General features: G+C 37.6%; 2 long non-coding RNA genes across 2 annotated transcripts in view; one reads left to right on the top strand and one right to left on the bottom strand.

Moving 5' to 3' along the window:
• Positions 1 to 20,354, top strand: part of RBBP8-AS1 (RBBP8 antisense RNA 1) — a 210,274-nt gene that overhangs the window by 79,431 nt on the left and 110,489 nt on the right. The gene's annotated exons all lie outside the window — the stretch shown is intronic.
• Positions 18,164 to 20,354, bottom strand: part of LOC124904263 (uncharacterized) — a 37,941-nt gene continuing 35,750 nt past the window's right edge. Inside the window, exon 2 of the long non-coding RNA XR_007066308.1 lies at positions 18,164 to 19,242. This is a non-coding gene — a long non-coding RNA (uncharacterized LOC124904263). The remainder of the gene's footprint in view (positions 19,243 to 20,354) is intronic.

Genomic DNA, 20,354 nt, shown 5'->3' with positions numbered 1-20,354 from the left:
TCTTTTTTTCCCTCCTCTTCTTTTTCTCCTACTCTTTCTCCTTTAAGTCTCTACTCCATTCTCTTCTGCCAGTCTTTAGGCAATTGTGCTGTGATAGGGGCAGTGACAGCAAGAACAGCAGCTACTGGGTTCCTCCTAAAACTGGGGCATGGGAACATTTCTCTCTGATGGGAGAAGCTGTGGTTTCAAAAATGTGGAGTGAAACCCTCTTGCTTTCCCTCCACTTGTTATCTTGCTGTTGGCTCCAGAGAGGGGCCACTAGAAAATGTGGAGGAGAGGGAGGTATGGTGGCTTATGCCTGTAATCCCAGCACTTTGGGAGGCTGAGGTGGGCGGGTCATTTGAGGTTAGGAGTTTGAGACCAGCCTGGCCAACATGGTGAAACCCCGTCTCTACTAAAAATGCAAAAAAATTAGCTGGGCATGATGGTACACACATGTATCCCAGCTACTAGGGAGGCTGAGGCAGGAGAATCGCTTGAACCCAGGAGGTGGAGGTTGCAGTGAGCCACTGCACTCCAGCCTGGGTGACAGAGTGAGACTCCGTCTCAAAAAAAAAAAAAAAAAAAAAAAAGAAAAAGAAAAAGAAAATGTGGAGGGGAGGAGAGAAGTTCAGTGTCCTGATTAGAACATTGAAAAGGGAGCCCCAGGGCACCAGAAGTACTAGGGAGATCATGGAGAGCAGGGAGCCTGGGAAGAAAACTCATAAAGTTGTCTGTGAACTCTTGAGCTCACCCTGGATTTGTGCATGCATGGATCCTAAACAGGATACTAAATACTTTGAGAACTGAACTAAGGGGTAGGTCACAGTCTAGGTCCCACACTGGTCATTCAATGACACACACATGGAACAGAACTGAACAACAGTAAAATCTCAACCTGCATAAGAATCAACAGATGCCACTGCTAATGTATCACAAATGTTGAAATTATCTGATAAAATATGTACAAATAAGTAAGGGCATACACTCTTGAAAATAATGAAGAGATAAAAAGTCCTAACAAAGAAATAGATAATATAAAGAATAACCAAAGAGAAAATTTAGAACTGAAAAATACAATAACTAAAATTAAAAATTACAGAATGGGTGTAATAGCAGAATAGAATTGACAGAGGAGTCAGCGAATGTGAAGATATAGTAATAGAAATTATCCAATCAGAAAAGACATAAAAAATATTTTAAAAATGAAGGAAGATGTGTGGGATAATACTCAAAAGTCTAATGTTCATGTGATTAGAGACTCGGAATGAATGGAGAAAGAACATGGGGGAAGAAACATCATTTCAATAAATAATAGCTAAAAACTTCTCAAATTTGGTAAAAGACATATACCTACAGACTCAAGAAGTCTAGTGAATCCTAAATGTGACAAAACCAAATAAATCCATGTCTAGACCTATCACAATTAAATCATTATGAGCTAAAGACAAAATACTATGAAAGCAGCAAGAGAAAAATGATGTATTATTGAACTGGCTACGGTTTTCTTATCAGAAACTGTTCATGAAAAAGATAGTGGAACAACATTTTTAAGTGCTGAAAGAAAAGAATTGTTAATCTTGAATTTTATACCTGGTGAAAATATCCTTTAGGAATGAAGGTTAAATAAAGACATTCTCAGATGAAAGAAAACTAATACAGTTCACTACAAACAGTCCTGATCTAAAAGAATTACGAAATGAAAATTTTCAGATAGGAAATGACACCAGAAGGAAATATGGAGCATGAGGAATGAAGGAAGAGCAATATAAATAGCAAATATTTGGGCAAATATAATAGACTGTTCTTCTCCTTTTAAGGTGTTTGAAGTATATTTGATCATTGAAAACCAAAACTATAACATTATCTGATGGGTTTTCAATGCATATAGAAGTAATATATAAGGCAAATACAACATGAAGGATGGAAGGTAAAGGGATCTTGGAAGAATTTCTACATCACATTTAAAGTGGCAAATATTGATTCAAAGCATGCTGAGAAAGTTTAAGTTTGTTTACTGTAACAGTCATCACCACACACATACACACACACACACACACACACACACACACAGCCCAAAGTGAAATAATAAGAAACTAAAATAGAATACTAACAAATGCTCAAGTAACCCAAAAGAAGAAGAAAAAAAGGGTAACAGAGGAAGGAAAAACATAAGGAGTGATGAGTAAACAGATAATTAAATAGTAGCCCTAAACCCAAACATATCAATATTAACATTAAATGTAAATGGTGTAAGCACACTAGTTAAAATAGAGATAATCAGAATGAGTAAAAAGGTATCACTCGACTATATGCTGTCTACCAGAAACATACTTCAAGTATAAAGATATAGGAAGGTTAAATGAAAAAGAATGGGAAAAGACACATTTTAAACATGAATAAAAATAAAGTTGGTATAAATATATTAATAATCAAAGTAGACTTCAGAGCAAGGAAAATCACCAGGGATAAACTGAGACATCATGTAATAATATAAAAGTAAATTCACCAAGAAGACATACAAATCTAAATGTGTGTGCACCTAACAGACTTTAAAAATACGTGAAGCAAAAATAGACAAAACTGAAAGAAGAAATAGACATATTCTCAATATATATATAATAATTCTAAAATGTATATGGGAAGACAAAACAAACAAACAAAAAACCAGAATAGCCAAAACAATTTTGAAAAAAGGAGAAAGTTGGATGACTTACACTGATGTTAAGATTTACTACAAAGCTATAGTAATCAATATAGTGTGGCATTGGTGAAGGGATAGACATGTAGATCAGTGGTACTGAATTGAGTCCAGAAATTGGCTTCATTCAAATATGGCCAATTGATTTTTTATGAAATTGCAAAGGCAATTCAATGGAAAAAGGATCATCTTTTCAACAAATGGTGTTGGAACAATTGGATATAGACATGTAAAAAAAATTAACCTCCACCTAAACTCATGCCTTTTTAAAAAAGTAAATAGAAATGGATCATAGTTCTAAGTGTAAAATGTAAAACCAGGCTGGGCACGGCTCACGCCTGTAATCCCAACACTTTGGGAGGCTGAGGCAGGTGGATCACGAAGTCAGGAAATCGAGACCATCCTGGCTAACACGGTGAAACCCCGTCTCTATTTAAAATACAAAAAAATTAGCCAGGCGTGGTGGCATGTGCCTGTAGTCCCAGCTACTTGGGAGGCTGAGGCAGGAAAATCGCTTGAACCTGGGAGGTGGAGGTTGCAGTGAGCCGAGATTGCACCATTGCACTCCAGCCTGGGCGACAGAGCGAGACACCGTCTCAAAAAAAAAGAAAAAAAAAAAAAAAAAAGGAAAACCATAAAGCATTTAGAAGAAAACATGAGAAGGAATATTCATGACCTGGGGTAGGCAAATAATTCTTAGATATAATACTGAAAGCATGATCTAGAAAATAAATACTTGATAAATTGGACTTCAAAAATCAAAATTTTTGCTCTGCAAAAGATTTCACTGTTAAAATAGAAAAGTTAAGATTTTATCACTCTCCCAAACCTACTGATTCTCTTATGTAGGTACTCCTTTCTTTTTTCTGTTTTATTCCACTGTGCTGGAATTTAGTCCTGTGACTTCAGGACCTCTCTTTGCTCATCTCCAGGGCATCCATCTCTGGCACTTTCTTGGCACTATCTAAGTAGATCCCCAGATTTCCTTCTCATTCAAGCCTGCCTTGGGCCATGAGAAACATGTTTCTTTGCTCCACAGTTGGTAAGAATGCAACTAATTCACTTTTTTCATTTGACCACCTCAGTTCTTCCAATCCTAAATAGTTTTCTAATAACTAGAATGGAACTACCACCATCTAGTTATCTAATATCTAGAAATTGAGAATAAAATTTTATTTTTGTCTTGTGTATAATGCACATGTGTATTATCTGTCACAAATGCTAACTCTCAGATTTGCTATATCCTAGCTTGCATGCTCCTTGCTTCCTACAGATGTGTTCCAAATAAGAAAAATAAATCTTAAAATTAATCTAAGCAAAATGTAGGAAGATGGCACTGTTGCTGCAAAGAGTTGCCCAAAAGATTTCAAATAAACTCACAGATTTCACTTCTCTACTGTTGGATTATCCCTGCAAACAGTTTTCTCTCTACATAGAAAATTATTATATTGAGTTAATGTGATACTCAAATAGGAGAACTTAATTTCAATTTTAGATTCTTTTCTCGTGTGGAACAAATACCATTTGGACATCCATTTTATCATAAAAATCCTTCTATAAGCTAGAAAGTTGCTTTTTGTTTCCCCAGCTGAAAATTATTTTATGGCAGTTCATGAACAGATAAGTATCTCTATGCTGTGACACAAAAACTGGCCAATTTGTTGCAAAAAAAATCAGTTAAACTAGTTGTTTTGTCATTGCATAGTTTGAGATTGATCAATTCGTGAATAGATGGAACTCGAGATTTAATGATATACGTGAATGCTTTTAAGTTTCTGGGTGTTAGTCAGTGGTAATTTAGTGTTTTACTCTATTAAATTTCGTCCTTCCTCATCTCTTTTCCGTACTATTAAGAATGGGCCGGCCGGGCGCGGTGGCTCATGCCTGTAATCCCAGCACTTTGGGAGGCCGAGGCAGGTGGATCACGAGGTCAGGAGATCGAGACCATCCTGGCTAACATGGTGAAACCCCGTCTTTACTAAAAAATGCAAAAAAATCAGCCGGGTGTGGTGGCGGGCACCTGTAGTCCCAGCTACTCGGGAGGCTGAGGCAGAATGGTGTGAACCCACGAGACGGAGCTTGCAGTGAGCCGAGATCGTGCCACTGCACTCCAGCCTGGGTGACAGAGCGAGACTCTGTCTCAAAAAAGAAAAAAAAAAAAGAATGGCCATTTAGCTGATCTTGACTAGAGCTTACCCACTTTCAAACTATCCTCCACACTGTCATTCAATGACCTTTCAAATTGGATCATGTTGCTCTCCTGCCGTTTTAAAGGCACCCCAGTGGTTCTCTCTTACATACAAAATAGAGTTGGTGTTCTTCAGCAGGCCTTCGGGTCTTCAAAAGCTAGCCCCAATCTGCTTTATCCATTTTGTTTTCTTTAATATCTTTTCCTCACACTCTATAGGTGTTCTCACCTTTCTCTGAATATAGAATATTATTTCAGGTCTTCATATTTTGCATAACCTGTTCAATTAACCTGTAGTATTCATCCTGTGCCCCATTGCCCCTCTGCCACCTATGGTGATTCCTTCCCATGTCTTTACATTCCAATTCAGATGTCACTTTTTTTGTGAAATAGGCCCTCTGATGCTTACTTCGTGCCATTATAATACTTTTTACATACTTGTGACAAGGTAGTACAAGTATTTGTTTACTTTTCTATTTTGTTCAATAGATTGCGAGCTCCTTGAAGACAGAGTCTGTTTATTCCCATATCTTGAATCCTAGCCTAGTGTTTGAGATAATACACACCCAGGCAATATTTGTGGAATGAATGATTTATTGACTAAAAGAGTTAATGCACTTTTAGTGGCTTATCACTTACTTATAAAGGGAACACCTACTCTGGGAGAATCTGGCACATGTATGTTTCATAAATTTCCCTATATAATGGAGTGAGTGCCTGAAAGAAGTTGTGAAACTCTTATGGGGCAGCTTGTTCCCTTCTTATTCATGGACTCAGGCCAGGGCATTAGAAGAAAGGTATGACTGTACTTATTAAGCAATCCTCTTAGAATTCCTAAGCATAACCAAGTATTTGACAAATGTAAAATTAAATTTGGCTTAAAGCTGAAGGAATTCAAGCCCCCCAAATATTTTAGAGTTTTTTCTCCATAAAAAGCCCTATCATTTTCATATCAAAAAATTATTTCTTTAATAGGGCCTTGTCCTAAGTAGATGCTCAATAACCACTTGTGAAATGAATTGATTTTTTTCCCTATTTAGTGAAATTATAATAGCAAATGTCACCTATGCATATGTTCCCCAGTATATCCTTATATGAACATGATCCTGTAACTTGTAGAATCATAGAATAGCAAACCTAGGACTTTTGAGTTCGTCTTATTGAACATCCCCAAGTTTAAGATGAAGAAACAGGTCTAGAGAGATGAGTCCTTTCCTGAGCTGAATCATGTGAAACTGTGGTTTCTATATGTCAAAAATGGTACAAAATTTACAATTTTTTTGGTTGCATCCAAAAACCACCAAAGTGTACATTGCATATCAGGCTATAGGACTCTTCCTGAGAATGATAAGAACAAAAGAAATATCATGTAAAGTAAAAATTAAACACCAAATCAGTTAGCTTCTGAGTTGTAGGAGAGGGATCATGTCTCTGTGGCTTTACCCATTACATGTGGTCAAGGATACATTTGAATCATAAGGTAAAAATAATGATTTGCATGGTATGTTGGGTTGGGAAACTTATAAAGAAACAATTGGTTTTTAAAAAATATACTGAGTTATAAAAGCTTCTTCATATAGTTTTTTTAAGAATACAATTTTAAAACCTTTTGCCAAGTTTGACTGTGTGGCTATATTTCAAAGAGCTAGAATTTCCCGAAGAATTCCTGTTCCCTGAACATTCTAGATCCTACCTAAAGTAAAGAAATGGAACTGAAAGTGAGGATTATTTTGTTTACTCTGTCCTGCCTTTATGGAAAGCTAGGCTTACCATAGGGACTGCATTTCATTTTCAGAATGAGCTTTCAGCAGGAAGCAGTCTGCTCATGCATGCATGACAGGAGAGGAATGTGCCCTGAAATGATGATATTTTTACTTAAGAAAGGGTTTTGGCTCAAGGATTTCTTTGGGAAATTCTTTATGATATTTTTCCCCTTGACACATGTGGTCTAGTTGACACTTTCCTTCATAAACACACATAATTCAACCCAAGCCATCCTGTGGACCTTTTTTTTTTTTTGTTTTCTCTTGTTTCTGTAGCCTGTCAGAAGAAATGTGACATTAGGTTTGGGGCCAGGAAAGTCATTATGACCTTAGAATATTCAGAGATTTCTATCTTAGAATTTGGTCCTTGGAAGACCTATCCATAGGTGAAATAGAATGCAGGTGCAATTTCCTGGTCAATCATGGTAAACATGTTTTTCTTTGTTTTACTTTTGGATGAGATAATTGCTTTGGCTCTTACTTTGCCTCAAATTCTCAGGTAATTATTTTTGCTCTCTGTTTTGCTTTATGTTAACTGAAAAAATCAGCAGTGAGAAATAGTTTAAAAACATGTCTCATGTTTCTGATTTTCTAAATGAACATATTCTGATTTACTGGGCAGCCTATCCAGTTAATTCTATAGGCAGTTAAAATAAATGCTTTATGGCTGTCTTCAAATGTAGCTTACATTGATAAGCACAATCTGTAAATGCCACAGGGCAGGAATTGTTGGTTTTGCTCACTGTCAGATCCCCAGAATTTAGTATTCTGCCTGGTATATAGTAGGGACTCAGAAAATACCTGATGAATTAGTTAATGGAAATAGAAATATTGACCTTGAGCTCTGTGAGGGATACTTACCTAGACTTATGAAAATTAACTTAATGAAATATTCAATTATAGAGGACAGAGAAGACATAAAAAATGTTACTCTGATAGAAAACAGTCTAGGGAAGCAAGTGCCTGTGGGAGGATTTAACCCTAATTCTTGCCCTTCAAATCTGGGTGTTTGTGAGCCTTTGAATCTGAAGGAAACTTTAAAGGTCATCAGGTCCAACTACTTATTGACAAAAGGTCATCCAGCTTTCAGTTGTTCACCATTTATAATACAGTGACAGGGCTTTTCTAATTGATAGGCAACATAGTCCTTTATGGGAAAATTCTGATTACTAGAAAGTTTTGTCCTTTTGAGCCAGAATTTACTCGTCTGTTATTTCCAAATGCTGGGACTATTCTGCTCTCTGGGACTGCATGTGATAAGTCTGACGGGAGACCGAGGAAGACCTGACTTAAGATCTGAAATCCTTTATATCAGCACTAGTCTAGTTTTATTTGGGGATAAGGCCCAAACTAGATAATAAGCCTCACCAGTTCCGGCGACATAATAAATATAAATTAGCATGCTTAGCACCACCTAGTGTTCTCCTCTCGTACATTATTTGTGGGAATGTACATTGATAACACTTCTTTCTAGAGCAGTTTGCCCCTACATAGGAAATTACACTGTTTCATCAAGAAATTCCATTATAGGAATTTACCTTAAAGAAAGTACTTCCAAATTTGTACAAAAATAGATAGGCAAAGATGCCTTCAGGTGATCCAGCATACCCATTACAAAAATTTTAAAACCATTTAAATATTCATTAGCAGGTAAATAAACTTGATATGCCCACTGAATGGAACAGAGTCATGAAAAAGAATGAGATAGAGCTACATATATCTAGTTGGCAGAGGTTCATGATATATTATTAAATTAAAAAAATCATAAAAGTATATATATCTTCTTTTATAAAATAATAGTGTAATAATACATCTATGTTAGTATGTCAGACAATTTTGAAAGATTATATAATAAGCTGTTAACACAATCTCTAAGGGATAGCATTATGGTGGACTCTAATTTTTACTTAATATATTTCTGTATATATATATATATATATATATTTTTTTTTTTTTTTTTTTTTTTTTTTTTGAGACGGAGTCTCATGCTGTTGCCTGGGCTGGAGTGCAGTGGCGCAATTTTGACTCACTGCAGCCTCTGCCTCCTGGGTTCAAGCGGTTCTCCTGCCTCAGCCTCCCAAGTAGCTGGGATTACAGGCACCCACCACCACGCCCAGCTAATTTTTTGTATTTTTAGTAGAGACGGGGTTTCAGTATGTTGGCCAGGCTGGTCTCAAACTCCTGACCTTGTGATCTGCCTGCCTCGGCCTCCCAAAGTGCTGGGATTACAGGCGTGAGCCACTGTGCCTGGCATATTTTTGTATTCTTTGAATATTTTTAAGTGAGCAGGTATTACCTTTGTAATTAGAAAAATAACCCAGACACTTAAAAATGTTATCTGGATGAGTTATAGGATATTAGGGCTGGAATAGACCTTGGATTGAGTAGGAAGAGTCTTGAGAATTAATCCAACACCCTAATTTTACAGATAAGAAAACTGAGTCTTTAGTTTTTAGAAAATTAAAAATGTGAAATGAACTACCTAAAGCCCCAAAAGTAGTTAGTAGCAAATCCATTTTTAGAAGCCATGTTTAGTACTCTTTGAGTTATACCACAGTGCCTTTAAAATGCAGCACAGATTTTGAGAAAAATAAAATAGGAAAGTATTTACTTATAAATGTCTTTATATTTCTTCTTTAAAAAAAGTGTCTCATCATTAGAGCAATATAAAAGAGTAACAACTTCACAAATTATGACAGATTTTTTAAAGGCCTGAATGTTACTTTAGAGATGCTTAACACCAATGTTCTCAATCTCGGAAGAGAGAATTAAAGCCAAGTGATTTGTGGAAGATTGTATAATGCACTAGCAGCAGAGTTGGAACTAGAACCCTGGTATCTGGATTCTCAGTCGATGACTCTGTTAAATTGTCCACATTTCTTCTTGCAAGTTGATGTGCATTTATTAAATATCTGTCACTGTGCTAGGCTACACCCTTGAAAAATAAAATGTGCCAATGAAATGTGCATTCAGCAGACTTCAGTATAGATAAATAATTAAGTTGAGAAAGCCTAATAAATTAAGCCTCAAGATTTGATTGAATTCTTTTGCCTTAGATTAAAAATGGTGTGTATGATAACTTTTTTTCCTTTTCTCATTAAAGATTTCAAGGCATTTCATACAATTATATGAAACATTACAACCTTCTTAAAGGGAGGGATTATTATATTCATTAGGAAATGAATGTACAGAGACATTAAATCGTTTGTACATTAGTCACCAAGAATAAGAATAACCCTAGGATCCCTTAGTTCTGGGTGATTTCCAAAAAACCACACCTTTCATGGATTCAGATTAACTTTGGACCACTCCTAGAATCCTGGACATGTCTGGAAAGTGAATAGGTCATTGCATTTCATTTTAGGTCAAGTCAACCACAAATCTGGCTGAACCTGACTAATCTGAGCAGAGTCCACCAAACTATGGCTTCTAACCTAGGTTAACTCCAACAGAACTGGGGAACCATTTATTATTCTGTGGGTGAGGCCGCATGCATCACAAGTCAACAGCATATGAATGAAAACCACAGAATTAAAGGTGTTACTGGCACCAAGACCCAAACTAAAAGTGCTGATCCAGGAATGACAATTTCTAAACATTTTCAGGCAAGTTAGGAACACAAGTAAGACTAGCTCTGGGCAGATCCCATTTGTGTGACTGGCACCAACACAGAAAATACTGTACAGTGTGTGCCTCATTTACCTTGGCACTGAGGCTGCATCAGCCCCTTTGTGCCCTGACTATGCCTTATGCAAATTTTAAGATACAAAGCAATTTTTTGTTCCAGGTTTATTTTAATCATCTTTAGATTCTCCTTCCCTTAGCAGGTTACCTTCATTGTGGTAAAAATAAAGAAATAAGTAAGTCTGTGATCCCCTTGTATAGTTTAAAAACATTCTGGTTGCCAGGGGAAATGCAAATGCAGATCCTTTCTTCCATAGTCTTCCAGGTTTTCGGGGTATATTAGGTCAAGTCCATTAAGAAGTAGGAGATTTACTGGGGGAAGGAGGAGAAGGTGGAGAGATCCTTCAGATTGTGTAGAAGAGAAGGAAGAAAGGAAGACTGGGTATGAGGAGTCTCAGACTGCAGTGCAGTACCAAGGAAGATTTGGCCAGGTTGATGGGGAGTCCTTGAATCAAAGTTACTGAGGAGTCCTGTATATTGCCAAAATGGACCTACCTTAGTATCTCTGAGGTGGTCCAGAATTGGCTGGGAACCACCCCCCACAACAAAAGTATGTCCTTGGGGCAAATGCAGTGCTGGATCCAGAGGGACAAGATCTCAGGCTGTTGGTCAGTTATGCTCCTCACAACAGGAGGTCTGACAGGAGCATTTTCATGCCTGCTCCTGTCTAACCCTTGTTCCACACAGGTCTACTTCACATAGCTTTGGGATGCAACTCCTCCGTGGTTCCTTAGGGGTCTCTTTCTAAGGGGGAATTTAGAAGAGGGATAGTAGAACCATGTCTGGCACAATAGCTATCATCAGGGATACTCCTTTGTTGAGCTTGTGATAGTCTACAGATGGCTTTTGCAGGGGCCAGATTAGTGAATTAAATGAAGATATGATGAGAGCCACCATCTCTGCCTCCTTTAGCTCTTTAATGACAGCAACAATCTCCTTCATCATCTGTAGGATATATTGTTTTTGAATTACTATGTTGGCTGAGGAGGAACAATTTTAAAGATTTCCACTTGGTTTTTCCTGCTGTGATAGCTCTTACTCCATAGGCCAAGGGTCTTAATCTGGGGGTTACTCCAACTGCCAAGTTGTTGCAGTGGGTGTCGTAGGAATGATTATAGAATATACTTTCTGTGGTATTTAGTCAATGGATTTTGGTTCTAAAAATCTGCTCAAGTCTGGGAATATTAGCAGAGGATTGTGACTTTTTTATAGGTATGACTATCCTCTGCCTCTTGCTCTCCCATTCTTGCCTTTTTTTAAATTTAAAGATGTTAAGTAGCACCCTTGCTGACTGCCCTTCTATTTTGCTCCTAGGAAAACCATGCTTTATCAACCATCTCCACAACTCCCTGTGGATCAAACCCATTGGCTGCTCTGATCTTGCAGGCCATTATGGTAATTGCAGCCTCCTGACTTTTGATAGTTAAGTGCTATCACTTGGCCTCTATTCCTGTGGGGCCTCTATCATGAATATGAATACTAATGAGCCCAGCTCTATGATGGCCTCTCCTACAATCAGCCCTGGCCTGCAGAGGAACCGCTACCAAACTTCTTAGTGATACTGCTTTCCCTCTCAGCACATTTCTGGTGGCCTTGGTAGGCTTTCTTGTGAACACAATCCTCTAGGGGAATCTTACTGCCTTACATAATAGATACACTCTAGCATACCCATTTCCAGGTCCAGTACTAGGATGAGGCAAAGACCCTAATATTTCAAGACCATGAGAGTGAGCGGCTCCTTGAATTATGCCCCTTAGACACTGCTCTTGCCTCACCCTAATTTTGGCCTTGCCCGCTTCCCTTAGCCTCTTTATTCTTTCCTCTAGCATTTGTGAGGGCAACTCAGGTATTTACACTTTGCCGTGTTGGTCATCACTTTTTTCAGTGTTCTCAGAGCCATTCTAAGCAGTGAATTTTCCTCATACTCTGGGATCCTTGCCAGGCTTTAAATCCTGTGTCCCAAGTAAGTGCCTTCAAGCTAAATTAAATTCAAGTTAATGAATTTCTGCTTACCCAATCCAGTCTTACATTCTGGCCCTTTTTATCAAGCACACTTAAAATCTAATCCTAGGCTCCTGGCTCCTGCTGGTGCATGCTAGCTCACTCTTGTAAGCTCTTCTTTGGTATAGAGTCTCTTTCTTATCAGGCCCATCAGGTGCTCAGCTGGGTAACCAAGGGGAGGAAAGGGCAGCTTCTGAGGGGGCATTTACTTCCTTCTAGAGGGGACAGGACTCTACCATTTTCTAGCACAAAGGGAGGTGCTTCCACTTACGAGGGATGGGTAGGCCACCTTTGCAAGCTCTGAAGGTTCGGGGGGATCTTCATAACCAGTATCTTGAGGAGGCATCCATCTAGATGTTCTCATCTCATTTTTCTGGATCCTAGTTTTTCCCAAGTAGGGCCCTGACCTTACCATAGTAGACCTACCTTGGTGGATCATTCAGACGTCTTTGGAGCTCTGCATGCACCACCCCACCCAGCAATTTTGTATTTTTAGTACAGACAGGGTTTCACCGTGTTGATCAGGCTGGTCTAGAACTCCTGACCTCAGATGATCCACCCGCCTCGGCCTCCCAAAGTGCTGGGATTACAGGTGTGAGCCAGCACACCTGTTGTTTTTTCAAATGCCTGAATGATTGGAACTGAATGATTGTTCCCTTCCACCGGGACATTTTCTCAGGTCATTGTGGGTGAAATCTTGAGCAGTTGGGCCCCTACCTTGGGCCAGGGACTATCTGTACCCTACCTACCACACAAGATGGCCCCCACTTAATCTAATGTTGGGTGAGTGAGCCAATCCCAAATCCCCATCTTCCTGCCTGTTTTCTCACACCACTCTGTGTACCACCTGTTTTGATTTGGACCCATTCCAAATAAATCTCAAGCTAGGATTAGATATGAAAGAGATTACTGAAGGAGGGAGCAGGAGGAGGTGGAGAGAAACTTCAGAACCACAGTGTAGCAAAGAAGAAGGAAAGTAGCAGGATTGGGTAGGATGGGTCTCAGACTGCCATGTAGTGCTAAGAAAGTTTGGCCAGGTCGATGGTGAGTCCTAAAATAGAAGTTACTCAGGAGTCCTGTATATTGCCAGAATGGGCCTGCCTTAGTATCTGCTGTGCTCTATCATTGGCTAGGAAGTATGGCCTTCGGGTAGATGCAGTGCTGCATCCAGAGGGACAGGATCAATTAAGCTGTCTCCAACAGGAGGTCTGAGAGGAGCATTTTCATGACTACAACACACAGCAACCCAGCTGCTAATGATTATAGGCTTCGTGGGTTAGACATATTTGTGTTTTACAGTTGAAAACAGCTGAGAGGAAATAGGCTTAGTAGGTACTTCTGGAACTTCATTTAGATAAACACTTTGCATTTTTAATTTTAAAGAATGTTAGACATATTTGTGTTTTACAGTTGAAAACAGCTGAGAGGAAATAGGCTCAGTAGGTACTTCTGGATCTTCATTTCGATAAACACTTTCCATTTTTAATTTTAAAGAATAAGGCAAACTAAATACATCTGAACAGTTTACATCATAGTTAAGTGGAATAACAAGTCTGGCACAGGTTAGATAATTCAGACCACAAATTCCCATTCTCTCTGGTTCCACAGTGGCTTTTTGGATCTGTGAAATATAGAGGTGTCATTTTGTGGACAGGTGTGCCTTGGCATAACAATGCTTTAGCTCATACAGATGATCACACACTACCAATATCATTGAGTAATTTTGGATTGAGTGGTCGGTCTGAGGTAGATTCACGCTCCCTGGTCTGTAGTGCAGTGTGATTGCTTCATGACACCTGCATTATACAAGTGTTTTTATCTTCTGAGTAGCTATTTGCCTTGCGTTTCCTCATGCCTATATTTATTTCTCTCTTTTTACATCTCAGGGGTGTTAGAATGTAAATTCCCAGACAATACATAAAAACCCGATAATTTATCAATGAGACTGATAATAATGATGCTATTTGACATTTGGCAACATAGGGGGTTTTCTTGGCTCACGTTGGGTATCTTGAACCTATGCCCTATTAGGTAACTTTCTTAAACTGCCTGGAGTATATGCTTTTTTCTCTGTTATCTCAATGAATCATTCTTCTAATGTCTCTTCAAGTTTATTTCCTCTGTTGGTATCTCTCTTTTGTCCCTCATTTGGCATTTTGGGGGTAATGATAAATGTTGGGTGGAAAAAATAAGAAAGGTGGAGCAAAGCTTTGCATATGCTCATTGCATTTTTGGAGCCCGTTTACTCTTATTGTATCATCAGGAAAAATTCCTAGGATGCTTGTATGGCTAAGGTAAGTCAGATAACTTGATACCTATTCATCTCCAAAGGTATCTTGGATTTATAATGGAGATAAGGCAGAGAAAGGAGAGATTACGTTAGTGACCCCTGTTCAGGGCTGTGGGAGTTCCCTGAGTCTAATGAACAGCTATATCATCTTAAGATCAAAACAGAAACTATAGGCTTAAAGGTCAGCAGTCAGGATATGCAGGAGTCTGTAAGCTGGTAAGCACTACTAAGCTTGAGTTTTCAAGCTGTACTCAACAGGGATATAGAATATTTATAGTTTTTTGAAGCTTATTTATCTTTTGTGACATACTTAAGACCTTCCTGTGATCTGACAGTGTATCATAAAGCATTTTAATGCATTTTCTTCTCAATTTATTTTTATTGGTAATTCAAATTGTGTAAGCAAGGAGGTATATTGAAAAAAAACAGTTCTAAAGAGATTGAGAAGACTGCCTTAAAGATTTAATCACCTTAGTTTTCTAGGAGGGTTCTGGCTGTCAGACGGTTTCATCTCATGAGCCTCTCTGCCTACAATTACGTTTCCTTTCTGTAACTGAAATGCAGGTTCAGTCAATCTCTGCTTTCAGAGTCTGATTAACAAGAGCGAGATCTAGTATAAAGAAAGTGATTTTTTATTCTGAAACTAGCTTAGGGGAAGAAGTACAGGCTTCCTGCCTTAAGGGTGTGGCTTCGCTTTTGGAGCAGAAAGTGAGTGCTTTTAAAGGGGAGCTTATGAAGGGGCAGAAATGAGCAGGGTGGTGGGGGAGTGGTCCACATACTCACTTCAGTGCCTTATCTGCCAGGCAGCTGGTGTTTTCATGGGCAGAAATAGGTTGTAAGAGTGGTTGAAAACTCTCCAGGTGGGAGAGAGTTTCGTAGCAGGGGTACTTTGGGCTGTAAATTGATTGTTATCTCTCAAGGCAGTCTCCTGGTGGGAGCGAATTTTGTGGTGGACACATTGTGGGTGTAAATCGACTGTTATTTTGTGAGGCAGTCTCCAGGTGGGGGAGAGTTCCTTTCTGGAGCTTCTAAGTACATAGTTAGATGAACTTGTTCTGTAGGGAGCATCTGGTGAAAAGGAGGTAGAAAGTTATAATTGCACTTCCAGAGGGCTAAGTAGGAAGTGGGGAAGAAGGGGAAATGGAGAAAAAAGAAGAGAAAATAATTTTTAAAAAGTAACTTACTCTCTTTCACTTAGAAAAATGGGGGTACTCGGTTATACTTCCACCCCCTCTCCATTAGAAATACAACTTAATCCAAACAAAAAAATCACCACATATACAGCAAGTAAATTCCATGTGAAGGTCCTCATGCTTTATTCATGCTTTTGGAATGGGAAGAGCAATTGTAACATTTTTCATGTTATAGGGAAGAAATGCTAGTAGGGATAAAAGATATGGAAAGAGGTTGGATGAACAGGAGTTAAGAAAAGGAGATAAAAGCTGTGATACTGTTGGCAAGGGGACTTTGATTTAGAATCTACATTCTTTTTACATTCAAAGAGTTACTTTGATCTTCATTGCTCCAAGTGGACCCATTTATATTTTTCTTTTTCTCATCTCTTCCCCTCCCTTCCCACCTATTTTGTGTCAAAGCAACCTTGTTTAAAAAATATTTACTTTTCCAAAAGGAGTTCTCATAGAACAAGTCTAATAATTACCTTCTAAATATTAGCATTTAGAATAATTGTAAAAAATAAAACCATTATAATCCAGAGGAAGGAAGGCCGCTCAGCAGCTGATATTCAATTCAGCAGCTGAGGGAACATAAAGTCATGGGTATCTTCTCATATGTCAGGAAGGGACTAGTAATTAATCTTTCTTCAGATCTTATAGTATCATTACATATAGAAAGTCATTTAATTCTGACAGTAGACTATGAGATAGGTGCAATATTATTCGTCTTATTGTACACACAAGGAACTGAGAGGAGGTAAGAAATTTTCCCAAGGGGCTGAGAGAACTGGAGCTGAGAGAAGTTAAGTAGTTAAGAAATTTTCCCAAGTTCATATAGCTGTATGGAAATGGTAGAGCTGGAAATGGTAGAGCTAGGACTGGTTCCATAGTCTATGATTTTCCCATTCTATCTCTATCGGGCTATAATTACACACACACACACACACACACACACACACACACACACACACACACACAATTAGAACCATGAGTAACCCATTATGACTGTTTCTTATATACAAGCCCCTAGGTTGAATAACAAACAACCATCTGAGGAGAAAACATCAATTATGAGGCGAGAGAATGTCCCACACCAGACCTGAGAGAAAATGACAGAGCAGCCTTTAGTAGAATTGATATGTTTTCCTTAAAACACTTTCATCATTTGGCTTTCCTAATTTTCCTACCTCATGAGCCACTATTTGTGTTTCCTGAACTGATTTCTACCCTTGTTCCCAAACTGTTAATATTGAAATGACCCAGAAATCAGGTTTTGGACCTTTTCTTTTACCTATACACACTCTCTCTTTAGATTTCATTTATTCCCAGAGCTTAAAATAGCAAATATATGATGGTGACTCTAAGTCTTTATCTCCAGGTTGGACTTTTCCCCTGAACTTCAGACTCATATATCCAACCTCTTCAGTATCTTCACTGGAATGTCTGATAGATATCTCAAATCTAATCCTTCTCAGGCCTCACATACCCACATACAGTATTCCCCATCTTAATGAATAACAACTATTTGCTTCTAGTTTAGGACAAAAACTGTCTTGAATCTAAAGTGAGATTCCTGTAGCAGCATATAGTTGAATTATTGTTTTTAATCTGTTCTGCCAGTCTCTGTCTTTCAATGGTGAGTTTAATCCATTGATATTTAAAGTGATTACTTGATAAGAAAGGACTACTTCTGACATTTTTCTATTTGTTTTCTATATGCCATTTTTTAATATTCCTAATTTCCTTCAATACTACTTTGTCTTGTGTTGATTTTTTTTTCTAGTGTATCATTTTGACTCTCTCCTTATTTCCTTTTTTGTATATATTTTTAGTTATTTTCATTGTGGTTACCATGAGGATTATAATTAAAAATCTTATGTTCATAACCTCGTTTGAATTGATACCAACCTAGCTTCAATTTGATATGAAAACTTTGCCTCTTTACAGCTCCACCTTTTTTATATTGTTATTGTCACAAAATTATTGTGTACCCATTAACACAGAATTATAATGATTGTTCATGTACTTGGCTTTTAAATTATAAAGAAAATTAAAAAGAAGTTATAAACCAAAAATAAAATAATATTGCCTTTTATATTTATATAGTTACTTTCACTGGAGTTCTTTATTTCTTTATTTTTTCATATGACTTTGGGTTACTATCTAGCATGACTTCTGTTTTGGCTTGAAAGAATCCCTTTAGTATTTCTTGTAGGGAATGTCTAAGTGATGAACTCTCTAAACTTTTGTTTATCAGGGAATGTCTTAATTTCGCCTTCATTTATGAAAAGTAGTTTTGTCATATTTAGAATTCTTGGTTGACATTTTTTTTCATCACTATAAATAAGTCCTCTCAATGCCTTCTGGTCTCCATCGTTTCTAATGAGAAACTAGCTGTTGACCTTTATTGAGGATCCTTTGTTTATGACAGATTACTTCTCTCTTGCTGCTTTCAAGATTCTTGCTGTGTCTTTGGCTTTCAACGATTTGATTGCAATGTGTCTCTGTGAATCTTATAGTTTATCCTACTTGGAGTTTATTGAGCTGCTTGGATGTGGATTCACACTCAAGAATCCCATTGAGCCTCTTGGATATGTGTCTTTCATCAAAATTGGGAAGTTTTCAGCCATTATTTTTTCAGATATTCTTTCTGCCCTTTTCCTCTTTTCTCATTACGCATATGTTAGTATTCTTGCTGGTGTCCCACCGGTCTCTGAAGCTCTGTGTCCCTCCATACTGCTATTTGTTTTCTATTTGTTCTGTGTGTTCCAGGTTCTGTGTACCATTTTTCTTCTTTTTCTGCCTTATTTTAAACTAAGTGCATATTTTTAAGAATTCTGCTTTATCCCTATTTTGCTGCATTCTGTTTTATTTTTTAGTGGTTACTTTAGTGTTTCCTATGCATTTCTACATTGTGGCAGTCTAACTTCACATTATATTACCTCACATATAATGTAAGATCTTTATAAAAGTATAATTATATTTCTTTCCTATTGTCCTTTGTGCAGTTGTCATACATTTTACTTTTACATATATCACATGCCCCAAATATGGAGTTATTTTTTTTTTGCTTTAGTTCAATTATCTTTTGAAGAAGTTAATAAAGTACAGGGTACAGTGGCATACGCCTGTAATCCCAGCACTTTGGGAGACTGAGGCAGGAAGATTGCTTGAGCCCAGGAGTTTGAGACCAGCCTGGGCAATATAAGTGAGACCACATCTCTATTAAAAAAAGAAACTAAAAAAAGAGAAAGTATCCTTTATATTTAATCATTTATTTACCCTTTTTGACAATCTTTATTCCTTTGTGTAGATTCAAGTTTCCATCAGATATTATTTTCCTTCAGTGTGAGAAACTTTCTTTAGTGTTTCTTGTAGTATAAGTCTTCTGGGTATTGTCTCAGCTTTTGTCTGTCTTATGAACTCTTTACTTTGTCTTCATTTTTGAAGGACATTTTTTGCTGTAAATAGAAGACATGGTTAACAGTTTTCTTTCACCGTTTTAAAGTTTAAAAATGCCATTTGTTATATTCTAGTTTGCATAGTTTCTATCAAGACATCTGCTTCCATTATTATCTTTATTCATCTGTATGTACTATGTCTTTTTTCCCCTGGTAGCTTTTAAGATTTTCTATTAGTCACTTACTTTGTAGCTATTTGATTCTGATATACCTTGGAATAGTTTTCTATGTTTATTCTCTTTGGTGTTCGTTGAGCTTCCTGAGTCTGTATGCTTAGAGTTTTCATAAAATTTTACAAAGTTTTGGTCATGATTTCATCACATTTTCCTACATCCTTAAACCCTTATCCTAATAATTCAGTTACACTTAGGTTAGCCCATTCAATATTGTCACAGATGACTGAGGCTTTTTTTTTTTTGTCTGTCTTTTTTTTTTGTACTTCAGTTTGGATAGTCTCTGTTACTGTACTTAAAGTTTATTGATGTTTTCTTCCACAGGGTCTTTTCTGCTCTTCATCCCACTTAGAGAATTTTTCATTTGGAGTCTATCTTTTTCTTCTTTAGGAGTTTTCATTTATTTTAATTTATTGATTTTATCTTCTTGTTAGGTTCCTGCTTTTCTTTAAATACTTTCATATATATATAATAGCTATTTGAAATTCCTTGTCTTAATTCTATCATTTCTGTCATTTACAGGTCTGTTTCAGTTGATCAATTTTTCTTCTGAAGTGGGTCACATTTTCTTCCTTCTTGGCATGTCTAGTAATTTTTGACTAATGTTGGACGTTTTGATCTTTACATTGTAGCATACTGATTTTTTTTTCTTTTGAGATGGGGTCTTGCTCTTTCCCCCAGGCTGGAGTGAATTGGTGCAATCTCGGCCCACTGCAACCTTTACCTCCTAGGCTCAAGCGATCCTCCCACCTCAGCTTCTCAAGTAGCTAGGACTACAAGTGCACACCACCACACCTGGCTAATTTTTGTACTTTTTGTAGAGACAGGGTTTTGCCATGTTGCCCAGGCTGGTTTGGAACTCCAGGACTCAAGCAATCTGCCTGCCTTGGCCACCCAAAGTGCTGGGATTACAGGTGTGAGCCACCATGTCCAGTTCCT

The sequence above is a fragment of the Homo sapiens genome, chromosome 18 (assembly GCF_000001405.40).
Source record: "Homo sapiens chromosome 18, GRCh38.p14 Primary Assembly".
Lineage (NCBI taxonomy): Eukaryota > Metazoa > Chordata > Mammalia > Primates > Hominidae > Homo > Homo sapiens.
This window is presented reverse-complemented; position numbering and strand designations above follow the sequence as displayed.